We start from the raw sequence: 13148 nt of genomic DNA, 5'->3' as shown, positions 1-13148 counted from the left end.
GAGGGCTATTAAACACATTTCTTATATAAAGATACTTGTTCTTATGCAGGACATATAGAATAGGACTTTTTTGTAGCAAATATTTTAAACAAGAGATATTTTGTTATGTGATGCTTTTTTAGCTGCAGCTAAAACAATTTTTAGTCGTGGAAATTCTGAAAAGCTTGTCATTTCTTTTATTATACTTACTAGAATATGATTACTTTTGTTGAAGGACAATATTTTCCCCTCTTTTCCTTACCCTGTGGCCCCCAAAAATGTTTCTGCTAATGATATAAGCAGATTTCTAATACTTTATCTGCTTTTAATCTATGAAAATTAATATTTGGATACTTCATAATTATCTTGATTATGTCACTTGATAAAACAGTGATAGGTATTAATGTTAGTTCAGCCATATATTTATACTGCCTGGGAATAGGTGGCTGCAATTGTGTGGCGAGCATAATTTGGCAGCGTTCACTAGCTTGCAAAAACCTACTGCAAGAGCTTAAACATCTACATGAACACTGATATGAAAAAAGCATGTAAGCCTGACCATAGCTTCTAGTTCCTAGATGGACCTGGCTGTGTTTTTCAGGCCCCAACCTGCAGGGAGCCCCTTCAATCTCATCAGCTGAGTGGGCAGAATAAAGACATCATGCCTGCACATGCTTAGCATTGTGCCCAGCATGGTCAGGGATTGATAAAAACACTTGTGTATTCTCTTTTTATTATCATCACCACCATTATAATCATTACTGAGAGATGCATCCGTAGAGACATCATGTCAGAGAGAAGCAGAGGAACCCAGAAGGCAGCAATGAAACTAACATTTAGAAGCAACACAGGTGATGGGGCAGCCCAGAAAGCTGAAGACAGAAACCATTTCGGAGAATTAGCTGCAAAAGAAGTAGGGAACAGGCATGAGAAGGGGACAGTTCTTTCTGGAGCTAACTCAGTGAACACACCAGAGCCTGTGGGAACATACATTTTTGCATCAGTTTCCTCATTGATAAATTGGAAGAAAGGTACATGGTAGAGAAGGTTACATTAGTCGATATTTGTAACAAGTCAGGGCACATAACAGGCCCTCACTCAAGAGAAGACACTTTTGTTCTCACATCTCCCTTCTTAAATTAAGGAGCATCTGCCCTGTATACAATCCTGCACAAAAATAAATCCACGTAAACAAAATTTCACAGTAACTACAAAAGCCTAATGATCATTAAAAATTCCTGGGAGAAACAGATGACCGTTCACTAATTAATCGGGTTTAGATAAATCAAGCACCACTTAAAGAATCACTGCTCCTTAAAGAGGTAAATGCAACGATTGTCACATGGCCAATTTCTAATTTTTCATTTCTCTGGGGAGACCAAAATGATACAATCTTAGTAATAAATTTCTCCCTAAAGTTTCTGAGGACAAACAATTTCCAGCCTCCTCAGACAAAGGTAAGATGAGTCAACTAGCATTACTGTCAACAAGTATGAAATGTAGGCCACCTTTGTGTCTACAACTAACATACTTTGTTAAGGATCAGATGTAGGACAGTGGTTTGTGGAGTGAAAATTAGGTGGGTGTCCACTGGGCAAGACATTGCACAGCACTGCCTGTGCTGGAAAATGCAAAAGAGAATAAGCTGGATGGGAGTACATCAAACCTAAACCTACACGTGTAGAATCACACTCATGCATACAACCCACATTCTTACTGTTTTCCCATTATCAGGAGACATCAAAAAGTAAAAGGTGTCTCATACCTTCCAAACACATTTCCCAGAAATGTCTGTTAACAGGAAGTACATACCCTTCACAGAATTTCTCCCATGTGTAGATAAATATGTATGTGCACTATATTGTTCTGTCTTGCTCCTACAAAAATGGGCCAATTCTATACAAATGGTACTACAACTTATCTTTTCCAATTGATTGTGGACACCATCCCATATTAGTACATATAAATCTATCTCATGGTTTGTATTTAGGTTTTTTTTTTTTAGTTTTTATTTTAAAATAATTTCAGATGTACAAAGTAAGAGTTTAAAAAACTGAGAAATTCCATTTAGCCTTGCAACTTCTCAATTTTGACATCTTATATACACAGTACAATTATTTAACTGTGTCAGGAAATTAACTTTAGTACAATACTATTGCCCAATCTAGCAATTTAATACAATATTATTGCTTAGTTGCTCAATCTAGAGACGATATTCAAATTTCATCAGTAACACTTTTTTCCAATGCAGAACGCAGCCCGCAGTCATGCGTTGCAGTTACAGTTGGAGCGTGTCCCTTCGTCTCTTTTAATCTGAACTCATTCCTCAGTCATTCTTTGTCTTTCATTTTTAAAGAGTGCTGATCAGTTGTTAACTAGAATGTCACTCCATTTGTGTTTGCCTGATATTTCCTCCTTGTTAAATTCAGGTTATAGTTCTGTCAAGGATAGCACAGCAGCAATGGCTGATTCCAGGGCTGGACCAGGCAAAGTGTACACTGAGCCTAGAATATCTTGTGGGGTCAAAAGGTAAGGCAGTGCTCAAAAAACAACAGTAAAATGGCAAAAATACATAGAACCCAACTTGAAGGGCATCCCAATGTAAAATCTAGAAAAATCTGAGCACAAAATGTATTATAGTCATGGGTTATAACCAATATAATGAGAATCCAAGAGTCCAGACTGATTTTTAAAAAATTGCATTTTTTCAATATAAAAGAAAATATCTTCCTTATAGTAACATTTTAATTGACAAATGTAGGAGTAATGATGGAAGTAGAAAATCACTGTTTGGCACACACTGTAGTAATAACTGTTTCAGACAAGAATTATCCACGAATGCTAAAATTAGTTTGGTGAAAGTGTGATGAGAAACAAGATACTTACATAGGTCCAAAGCATCTCCTGACAAGATACTTATTCATTACACAGAAAAAAAAATAGAAACTTTACAGTAGAGAAATCTGGCAGACATCACCTTAATCAAGTGATGGAAGTAAACATCATTAGTAATGTGACAAGCCAACACCAGGTGCCTCCTGATCTGAGGCACTGAGAAGGACACAGCATCTCATTCTTTATAGTGGCAACTGAGCATTGTACTGTTGACCAGCTAGGCTGTCTTCAAGGTTCTGATACATTACTAATGCTGTTGAATAAATATCTTTTGAAACTTCCCTCACTATTTCTAGGGTACAGACTCCGAGAAGTGGGATTGCTGGGCCAAAGGGTGCATATACTCTAAACTTGGAGAAGTCCTGCCCAAATTTCCCTTATCTTTTTATTATTATTATTATTATTATTATTATTATTATTATTATTATTATTTGAGACAAGGTCTCACTCTGTCACTGAGGCTGGAGTGCAGTGGCGCAATCTCAGCTCACTGCAACCTCTGCCTCCCAGGTTCAAGTGATTCTCCTTATTCAGCCCCCTGAGTAGCTGGGACTACAGGCGCGCACTACCACATCTGGCTAATTTTTGTATTTTTGGTAGAGATGGGGTTTCACCTTGTTGGCTGCTTGGCCTCGAACTCCTGACCTCAAGTAATCTGCCTGCCTTGGCCTCCCAAAGTGCTGGCATTGCGGGTGTGAGCCACCACACCTGGCCTTGAAACGTCTTTTAGAGCTGTTGGTCCTGTTCATCACCCTCCACCTTTCAGCAGCAGTGTGTGAGAGTACCCACTTTCTTTGCTAGCACTCAGCACTACAAGCCACCAGAATGCTGAAAGCTGGGGCAAAGGAAGCCATATGTGGCTGTGTCAGCAGCTGGGCAGATGCAGGGAGTACAGCAGGAGCCAGACAAACCGAGAGTACTGGATGCATCCGGATGCAGAGGGATGTTCTGAGGTTTAACTAAGTCAGGGCTCCAGGACACACTGCAGTCAGCAGAAGGTACATGTACAAAAGATAGCAGGGGAAAGACGACAAGACTAGGGCATATCTGTTGGATGCTATTTGAGAGGTTTGCTATTTAGAAATGACCTAAGAGCTTAAACTTGCACCAAGCCCCACCTGGCCCAGTCTCCATCCTTCAGTCACAGCTCCTTAAAAGTCTAAGACAGGGGTGTCCAATCTTTTGGCTTCCCTGGGCCACATTGGAAGAAGAAGAATTGTCTTGGGCCACACATAAAATACACTAACACTAACGATAGCTGATGAGCTTCAAAAACAAATAACAAAAAAATCTCACAAGCTTGGTCTAAGACAATACAAATGTAGTAGTGAGGTTTCCCAGTCAAACTTATTAGTGATAGTTGCCAACCTTTGTGTTGTAACTTTTTTTTTTTTTGAGATGGAGTTTTGTTCTTGTTGCCCAGGCTGGAGTGCAATGGTGTGATCTCCGCTCACTGCAACCTCCACCTCCCAGGTTCAAGCGATTCTCCTGCCTCAGCCTCCCGAGTAGCTGGGATTACAGTCATGTGCCACCATGCCTGGCTAATTTTGTATTTTTAGTAGAGACGGGGTTTCTCCATGTTAGTCAGGTTGGTCTTGAACTCCCAACCTCAAGTGATCTGCCCTCCTCCACCTCCCAAAGTGCTGGGATTACAGGCGTGAGCCACTGTGCCCAGCCTGTGTTGTATTTTATAATCAATTTCATGTCACTTTATGTGGACTTCGCAACAACATAGAGAAAGGCATTGTTACATTTACAGGTAACAAAGACTGGAAAATCAGAGAGGGAAAGTAACTTGTTCAGGGCTGCACAGCTGCAAAGTGAGGCAGGTAATTGGTATTCGAAAGGCTACTTCAGTGGTATCTGGAGACTAGTCTATCTCCTGGCCCAGGCTTCTCCCTGTAGCAGGACCACTGTTGTCCTAACGCCACAAATACATTATCTCATTTCATCTCTACAGCCATCTGATGAGATGGGTACTACTGTTAGCTCCATTTTACAAATAGGAAAACGGAGATTGTGCCCCGGGCTTTGCTACCAGTAATGGGTGGGCTCAGGACTCTCTCGGCAGAGAGGGAAGTGAGGGGACAAGGCAGACCCAGCTCAACCCCACCTCCAGGATGAGCAAATGTAGAGAAAGGTGAAGAAGTGCTGGCACCTGAATAAAGCCCTCCCTTCTCCCCCACCCAATAAACCCAGTAAATCCATAGTTCTTGATTACCTACTGTATACAAACTGGCTGGATTACAAGGACCTGCTTTACAGACTAATGTTCATTATAATTCACAAGAGTCAAGGGGATCTTATTGTACAATGAAATACAGTAGTTGCGGCCTGCTGTGGACTGAAAGGTGCCAGCATCCATTCTGCATTCATATGTTGAAGTCCCAACCCCTAAGGTGACTTTATTGGAGATAGAAACCTTATGGAGGTTGGTAAGGTTAAACGAGGTCCTAAGGGTGAAGTCCTAATCTGAAAGGATATGTGTCCTTATAAGAAGAAACACCAGAGAACCCTCTCTGCTCCTACAACCATGTAAGGACACAGAAGAAGGCAACCATCTGCAAGCCAAGAGGAGAGCCCCCACCAGAAACTGAATCAGTTCACACCTTGACCTTGGACTTCCCAGCCTCTAGCACAGTAAGAAAATAAACTAAGCCCTTTATTCTATGATATTTTGTTATAGCAGCCCAAATAGACAAAGACAGAGACGCTTCATAAATCAGACTGGTGGCCTGATTAATTTGTCTTTTGACTATGCCCTCATCAGTCATGTTGGAGAATAGTCCCCCAAATCTATATAAGAACTCACTTATAATTTACACATATGCATATGAATGCCTATATTATTATTATAATAACAGGGATGAAAACAAAGACATTTTATAAAAAAGAAATCAACAGGCCAGGCGCAATGGCGCACACCCGTAATCCCAGTACTTTGGGAGGCAGAGGCAAGCAGATATCTTCAAGACCAGCCTGGGCAACATGATGAAATCCTGTCTCTACAAAAAATACAAAAACTAGTCAGGCATGGGAACACATACCTGTAGTCCCAGGTACTTGGGAGGCTGAGGAGAGAGGATCATTTCAGCCTGGGATGTCTAGGCTACAGTGGGCCATGATCCTTCCACTGTACTCCAGCCTGGACAACAAAGAGAAGAAGAAAAAGGAGAAGGAGAAGGAGGAGAAGGGAGGGCAGGGGAGCAGAGGAGACAGAAGGGGAGGGGAGGGTAAGAGAGGAGAGGAGAAGAGAGGAAGGAAGGAGGGAAAGAAGGAAGGAAGGAAAGAAGGAAGGAAGGAAGAAAGGGAGGGAGGGAGGGAGGCAGGATTGTCTAACACAGTGAAATCCTGTCTCTACTAAAAAAAAAAAAGGTGTGGTGGTAGGTGCCTGTAGTCCCAGCTACTCGGGAGGCTTAGGCAGGAGAATTACTTGAACCTGCCTGGGAGATGGAGGTTGCAGCAAGCCGAGATTGCACCACTGCACTCCAGCCTGGGCAAAGAGCAGGACTCCGTCAAAAAAAGAAAGAAAAAAGAAGGGAGGAAGGAAGGAAGGAAGGAAGGAAGAGGGAGGGAGGGAGGGAGGCAGAGAGGGAGGGAGACAGGGAGGGAGGAAGGAAAAAGAAAGAAGAGAAAAAAAGAAAAGAAAAGGAAAAAAAAGAAGAGAAAGGAAGTTGTAACATTTTCTCCTTATACTCTGTTGTGGGTTTAACTGTGTCCCCAGAAGTGTTATGTTGAAGTCCTAACTCCCAGAACCTGTGAATGTGCCTTATTTGGAAATTGGGTCTTTGCAGATGTAATCAAGTTATGATGAGGTCATGCTGGTTTAGAGAAGATGCAATTCTAAGAAAAGGGAAATTTGGACACAAACACACAGGAGAGGACACAGGAGGATGGAGGCAGAGACTTGGATGATGCAATGACAAGCCAAAGAGCGCCAAGGATGGCCAGCCTCCAGCAGAGGCCGGGAGAGAGAAAGGGAGGATTTTTCTGGGCATCTGCAGGGAGAACACAGCCCTCACAACTCTTTGATTTCAGACTTCTGGCTTCCACAACTATGAGAGAATACATTTCTGTTGTTTTGGGCAACCTAGTTTGTGGTACTTTGTTATAGCAGCTCTAGGAAACTAATACACACCCTGACCAATCTGCACATCCTACTGAATAAGAAAGAGTAACATGTAAAGCAATGGGAGGAAAATGTCACACAGGTGCAGAGGCCAGATTGGAGAGTAGTGGCTCATCACAATGATCATGCCCATGGATCCCTGGGAACCGAGGTGGGCCCCTGGCCATGGGGAATCACCCAGGGCGGATGTGAGACTCAGGCGCCTGTTGGGGATTATCCAGGTCTTTCACTCATTTATGCATTCAGCAATCAGCAAGGATTCCTGAGGAATACTGTCAATTAATCACTCAAGTTTCACCCTCAGAAACATAACGTTCTGGCATCAGAGGGACAGAAAGATTGTTGACGTGCCTGGTCAGGAAGGTGAATTCGGTCGAGCAGGATTGTGCTGGGGAGCTGCTACAGTCTGAATGTCGGTGTCTCCCCAAAGTTCATAGTTGAAATCCTAACCCTCAAGGTGATGGGATTTGGAGGTAGGGGCTTTGGGAGGCGATCCAGTCACGAGTGTTGAGTCCTCATGAATGGGATTAGTGCCTTGACAAAAGAGGCTCCAGAAAGCTTTCTCGCCCCTTCCTCCATGTGAGGACGCGGTAAGAAGACACTGAACCAAGAAGCAGGTTCTCACCAGACACCAAATCTCCCAGCGCATTGATCTTGGACTTTTAGCTTTGAGAACTATGAGAAATAAATTTTTGTTGTTTGTAAACCACCCAGTTTATGGGATTTTGTTACAGCAGCCCACATGGATGAACATGGGAGCAAAGGGGAAATCATGGAAGGAGGACTGTTTTCGTTCCATAGGCAAACCTTTCCCACTCTGTGAGTGGCTCAAGGTCAACAAGGGAAAACAGATTCCTGATCTGGTGGGGGCCAATGGCGAGTCTGAAAGGGTCACAGGAAGTGTGTCAGCCTCTGCCTTCTGGGACCCTTGGGCAGCTGGGCACCGGTACAGAGGAAACCCCCCAAGAAGCACTCAGCCCACATTTCCCCCCAGCTAGCCTCACTTCCCCCCTCAGCACTGCCCTGGTTTATTTTGACAAGGTTGTTTCCACCCTGCATGGTCACACACCCTTGCAGACACTAGGGAGTCCTGCCCACTCTGGGAACCATTGTTCACTGTGGAAAACCCGAAGCGTCACCTTTATGCACAGCAGGCTGGGAAACAGTGCTGCTGGCGAGCCCCTCAGGAGCAGTCATGGTTGTGGGCAAGCAGCCAAACGGGGTGCAGACAGCACGCAGGGCTTCCTGGCACAGACCTGCAGGTGGGCGGTAGGCGGTGGGGTGGGGGGCAGTGGCAATGCCCTGGGCCTCCAAGTGATGAGCTTGGAAACCTGCTTCAAGTTGAACTGAGCAAAGGATGCAAAGGTAGGAAATACAGAAATACACCTCACAAGAGAAGAGGAAACATACCAAATGTTTTAACGGGTAGAATTTCAGATAAAAAACAAATCCTGTATTGAACATGGAAAAGGCACAAGGGGGACAATGAGGTCTGGGAGAAGCAGCAGCTGCATGAAGCAAGTACACCCCTTTGGTGATGGGATCTGCTGGTGGAATGATCAGAACTGAGAAGCCTGGAGGACCTTGCAGAGCTCCAGGCTGGGCTGTCATCTCTGATAGTAGCACAACGCAGCTGGTTCCAAGTATGGAATAAACAACAACAACAAAAGCCCTACACACTAAAATCAACTATTGTTATGGGACAAAGTCCTGCTGCCAGGAAAGTATTGCTACGGTGACACTGTCAGGCACAGGAGGCAAATGGGAAGGGGCAAGGCCCTCCGCCCTTCCCACCTGCCAGTTTTCCTTTGAACAACCAGGTCTGGCCATTCTGGGCCTGCAGACTTTCAGGGCCATAATCAGCAGCCACAGACTGGCCATTTCCCCCTTTATACTGGGCCTACACAAGGACCATAGTCAAAACATTTCTCAACAACTGATTTGCTATGCAACCATGGAGGTGCCTGACCATTCAGAGCAGGTGCTGGCCTGATCTCCTGGTTCCTTGCTACCTCTGGTGCTTCCAGTTCTGCACCAAGCCCTCCTGACTGCCCAGGAGGCCCACATCACTTATTTTTGTTGCCTGCCTGGCCTCTGCAGACAATTGAGTTTGGGACGCCTGGCTGAGAAGGAAGCCAGGTGGGGGATACTACATGATACGTCAACTGTTTCATCCTCATTCTGTGTGCCTCGGGTCCCAGGAAAGCAGGGACATCCCTGATGGGGCTAACCAAGGGGTTCTAGGAGCAGTGTGCAGGGGAAGAGGTTGTATGGAGTGGGAGTGGCATGGGAGGGAAAGGAAAGCAGGAAAGGCTGTCAGTAGGAGGACAGGAGCAGAACAGGACAGTCCAGAAACCAGCAAGGGCACATGAAGCCCAGGGAGAGACACATTCAAAGGCCTGTGAGCATAACACAGAGTCCCGGTTTGCAAACATCTAGGCAGGACACATTTCGGAGTCTCTTTCTACATGCATCTGACTCATCTTGATTTTTGTTGAATGAGGCCACATTGACCATAGGGAAAAGTCCAATGTTCTCAGCCCACTCCTCTTGCCCCACGTGAACTTTCCAACATCTCTGTTCATTACCTTCTTTTGTCAGTCAATGTGGGCAAAAAGAAAACAAGTTTGTTAAAAGTGGATGGGGGCCGGGCGTGGTGACTCACGCCTGTAACCCCAGCACTTCGGGAGGCTGAAGTGGGTGGATCACCTGAGGTCAGGAGGTCGAGACCAGCCTGGCCAACATGGTGAAACCCCGTTTCTACTAAAAATACAAAAATTAGCCAGGTGTGGTGGTGTGCACCTGTAATCCCAGCTACTCGGGAGGCTGACGCAGGAGGATCGCTTGAACCTGGGAGAGCGAGGTTGCAGTGAGACGAGATCACACCACTGCACTCCAGCTTGGGCGAAAGTGTGAGAATCCATTTCAAAAAAAAAAAAAATGGGTGAAATGTGGTAATGAATTAGAGTTGGAGACAGCAGTATAAACTCATAGTTAGCTTAACATAGATAAGATGGATACCTGGAGAAATATTTACACATACGTGCATGCACATGGATTCATATACACACATTTATTTATTTATGTATTTATTTATTTTTAAAAATTTTTACAGGGAAAAGTGTAAATGCAGTCCCCCATTACCACAAATTATGCAGTCAAGTCTCCCACATTTGGGGGAATCACAGGGGTCAGCACATCGGGAGTGCAATGGATAAGCCTCACCCTGGGGAAACCACCTTTGTGATCATGGTATCTCCCCTGCCAGGTAAGTATTCATATGTGTTAAAAAAATTGTTCTCCCCATCCTCCCTACACACATATATTTCACTGCTCTGTCAGTTGAGAAGATCTGGAGGAAACAACACCTCAAGCACATCTAGCACCCAGATCTTGGATTCTAAGTCCTTTCTCCAGTAAAATGACAGGGGATCCTTGAAGAAATGGCTGATTCTATAACTGGGGCTGGAAATATACAAGATAAGCCCTAAGCATCTTATAGTGCCAGAAAGTATGGATGCACCAAAAAAAGAGAGAGAGAGAGAGAGAGGGAGGGAGGGAAGGAAGGAAGGAAGGAAGGAAGGAAGGGGAGGAGGAGAAGAGGAAGGAGGAAAGGAAGGAAGAAAGGAAGGAAGGAAAAGGAAGGTAGGAAAAGAAAGGAAGAAAAGGAAGGAAGGAAGGAGAAAGGAAGGAAAGAAAGAAAGAAAGAAGAAAGAAAAGAGGAAGGGAGGGAAGGAAGGAAGGAAAAAAGGAAGAAAAAGGAAGGAAGGAGGGAGTGAGGGAGGGAGGAAGGAAGGAAAGAAAAGAAAAAAGAAAAGAAAAGAGGGAGGGAGGAAGGGAAGGAAGGAAGAGAGAGAGAGAGAGAGAGAGAAAGAAAGAAGGAAAGAAAAGGAAGAAAGAAAGACCCATAATAAGAAAGTATGTCAAATGGGCACAGGAAGTAACTGAAGAGTTCCCAATAGCCAAGGAAGAAAAACCATGAGCAACAAAATAAAACCATATTATTGGATTATAACTCAAATAAATTAAAAATTATCAAATAAATACCTGCAAGTCCATGCTGATATATAAATAAATAAATAGGAGAGAGGAGTTAAATCTCCCAGGTAGAAAAAATCTAAATAGTTCATGTAGATCCTCTAGCCATGGAGAAGGAAGAGCAGGAATGCCCTCTTCTTAGGGGATGGCTATGCACAGTGACTTCCTTCTGAAGAGTTTAATATAAAAAGGGAGTTAAGAAAGAACAAAAACACAAAAGTATCTTTAAAGTGGACAAACCTGACAACCACTACAGCAGCCAGGTAATCAAAGTCAACATCAGTGATAGGTCATGCTGATGGTGCCTACCCTTGATTTCATAAAAGCGGAACTTTACCTCTGTGGCCTTCCTCCATAATCCCAATCTAATAAGAAGAAGAATCAGACAACCCTCACAGAGGTACGTTCTATGAAATACCTGACCAGTCAAAACTGGTCATCAAAACTCAAGACTGTCAATGTCATCACAAACCAGGAGAGTCTGAGAAAGCGGCACAGCCCAGGGCAATCTAAGAAGACATGATCACTAAATGTGATGTGGGATCCCAGATGGGATCCTGGACCAGGTAAAAACTAAAGTAATGTTTCAACTTCAGTAAATAATAATGTATCAATATTGGTCCATTAATTGTGGCAAATGTGCCACACTAATGCAAAGCGTTAGTAACAGGGAAAACTGGGAGCAGGGTATATGAGAACTTTTTGAACTGTTTTCACAATTCTCCTGTAAATCTAAAACTCTTCTGAAAATAGAGTTTATTCTTTAAAAGTGTCTGGAGGATGTGCACAAGGGTGTGGCAGCAGAGGGGCTACAGGTAAAAAATCATGACATCTGGAATATTTCCTTCAATTTTTGCTCCACACGGTGACTATCTTACCCTGCTCCCATTAAACTCTGAACAATGTTATCAGCCTGAAAAATGGATTGGCAGGAATGTGTAATGTCGAAGCTGGGAGGGACTATGGCGGCCATCCAGGCCCCTGCTTTCAATTACACTTGAGGAAAATCAAATCCAAAGACCGGAAGCGGCCAGGCTCGGTGGCTCACTCCTGTAATCCCAGCACTTTGGGAGGCTGAGGCAGACGGATCACCTGAGGTCAGGAGTTCGAGACCAGCCTGACCAACACGGAGAAACCCCATCACTACTAAAAATACAAAATTAGCCGGACGTGGTGGCGCATGCCTGTAATCTCAGCTACTGGGGAGAATCGCTTGACCCCGGGAGGCAGAGCTTGTGGTGAGCTGAGATCACGCCATTGTACTCCACCCTAGGCAACAAGAGTGAAACTCTGTATCAAAAAACAAACAAACAAAAAAAAAAAACGAAAGCAAATGACCAGTGAATGTTCCAGTTCAGTGCCCATGGGTAGAGCTGAAATCCTCAGGGTCCTGGAAGACTGATGGACAGCAATGTCAGCCTGTCCTCAGAACAGGCCACTCTGCAGAGGAAACCGAGGCTCACAAGAGCCAAGAGCCTTCTTCCCAGCCAGAGGGCTGGCAAGCAGCAAAGCAGAGAGCCAGGTTCAGGTCTCCTTTCCGGCTTCACAGAAGTGCTACCTCCCTGCTACCACTAACCCTCACACCCCCGACCCCTGTCCCCATGGCCAGTCACTTTCCCGTTTCCTCCCACAGCAGCAGGGGGCGGCGGCTGAAGACTCAGGTAAGATGCAACTCAGGGAGGATGGCACTTAGATTGGTTTCTCTTTCTTTTTTTCTTGATTCTGTCTTTATGAAACTTTGCTTTAACCCAACATTGTTTAAATCCCGACCTGGTTTCTCGTGAGCTTGAAGCCAGGGTGCCCACACTCTGCAAAAGAAGAAAAATGCCAGTATGAGTCCTTGAGGCTCAGTGTTGTTGTGCAGTCCGTGGACAGGACAATGTCCTCATTTCAAGGTTTCATTTTTGGAGGAAAAAAAATTCCTCAGGATGCAGGATGCCCTGCATCCCATAATGGGTATGCCCCCATTGAAACCAGCTCTGGGAGGGTGACCAAACTAAAAAGGAAACAGTTCCAAGCAGAAGGACACAAATTACCAGCAGAGTCATTATTACTCACAGCAATTCAGGCCCAGGGTCTATGTGGTGCAGGGTTTCTGAAAGCCGGC

General features: G+C 44.5%; 1 long non-coding RNA gene, 1 other non-coding gene and 1 pseudogene across 52 annotated transcripts in view, besides 3 other annotated features; all 3 read right to left on the bottom strand.

The window, feature by feature from the left end:
* Window positions 1-13148, bottom strand: part of PVT1 (Pvt1 oncogene) — a 306733-nt gene that overhangs the window by 91847 nt on the left and 201738 nt on the right. For 19 of the 51 annotated variants that reach the window (NR_186126.1, NR_186119.1, NR_186125.1 and 16 more), the window contains 2 exons: window positions 12812-12849; window positions 11051-11210 (listed from right to left, as the gene is read on the bottom strand). The exons of 26 other annotated variants lie outside the window; for them this stretch is intronic. This is a non-coding gene — a long non-coding RNA (Pvt1 oncogene). Of the gene's footprint in view, window positions 1-5921; window positions 6020-8142; window positions 8260-11050; window positions 11211-12811; window positions 12850-13148 lie in introns of all 51 variants that reach the window. 6 more of the 51 variants (NR_186120.1, NR_186154.1, NR_186163.1 and 3 more) reach the window with 4 other exon arrangements.
* MIR1206 (microRNA 1206) lies at window positions 454-512 on the bottom strand. Its single transcript, NR_031611.1, has one exon. It is a non-coding gene; the product is annotated as a microRNA 1206 (primary transcript).
* Window positions 7514-8095: an enhancer, noted in NCBI's record as "H3K27ac-H3K4me1 hESC enhancer chr8:129013561-129014142 (GRCh37/hg19 assembly coordinates)". NCBI's record gives its function as "activates a minimal SCP1, AML or CMV promoter by ChIP-STARR-seq in primed H9 embryonic stem cells {active_cell/tissue: H9 hESC(primed)}" and the evidence as "EXISTENCE:reporter gene assay evidence [ECO:0000049][PMID:30033119]".
* Window positions 8174-8313: an enhancer, noted in NCBI's record as "active region_27957". NCBI's record gives its function as "activates an Ori minimal core promoter by ATAC-STARR-seq in GM12878 lymphoblastoid cells {active_cell/tissue: GM12878}" and the evidence as "EXISTENCE:reporter gene assay evidence [ECO:0000049][PMID:35858748]".
* Window positions 10116-10279, bottom strand: RNVU1-32 (RNA, variant U1 small nuclear 32; annotated as a pseudogene).
* Window positions 12740-12829: an enhancer, noted in NCBI's record as "active region_27956". NCBI's record gives its function as "activates an Ori minimal core promoter by ATAC-STARR-seq in GM12878 lymphoblastoid cells {active_cell/tissue: GM12878}" and the evidence as "EXISTENCE:reporter gene assay evidence [ECO:0000049][PMID:35858748]".

Source organism: Homo sapiens, chromosome 8 (genome assembly GCF_000001405.40).
Source record: "Homo sapiens chromosome 8, GRCh38.p14 Primary Assembly".
Classification (NCBI taxonomy): domain Eukaryota; kingdom Metazoa; phylum Chordata; class Mammalia; order Primates; family Hominidae; genus Homo; species Homo sapiens.
The sequence above is the reverse complement of the archived record's forward strand: the minus strand, read 5'-3'. Positions and strand labels throughout refer to the sequence as shown.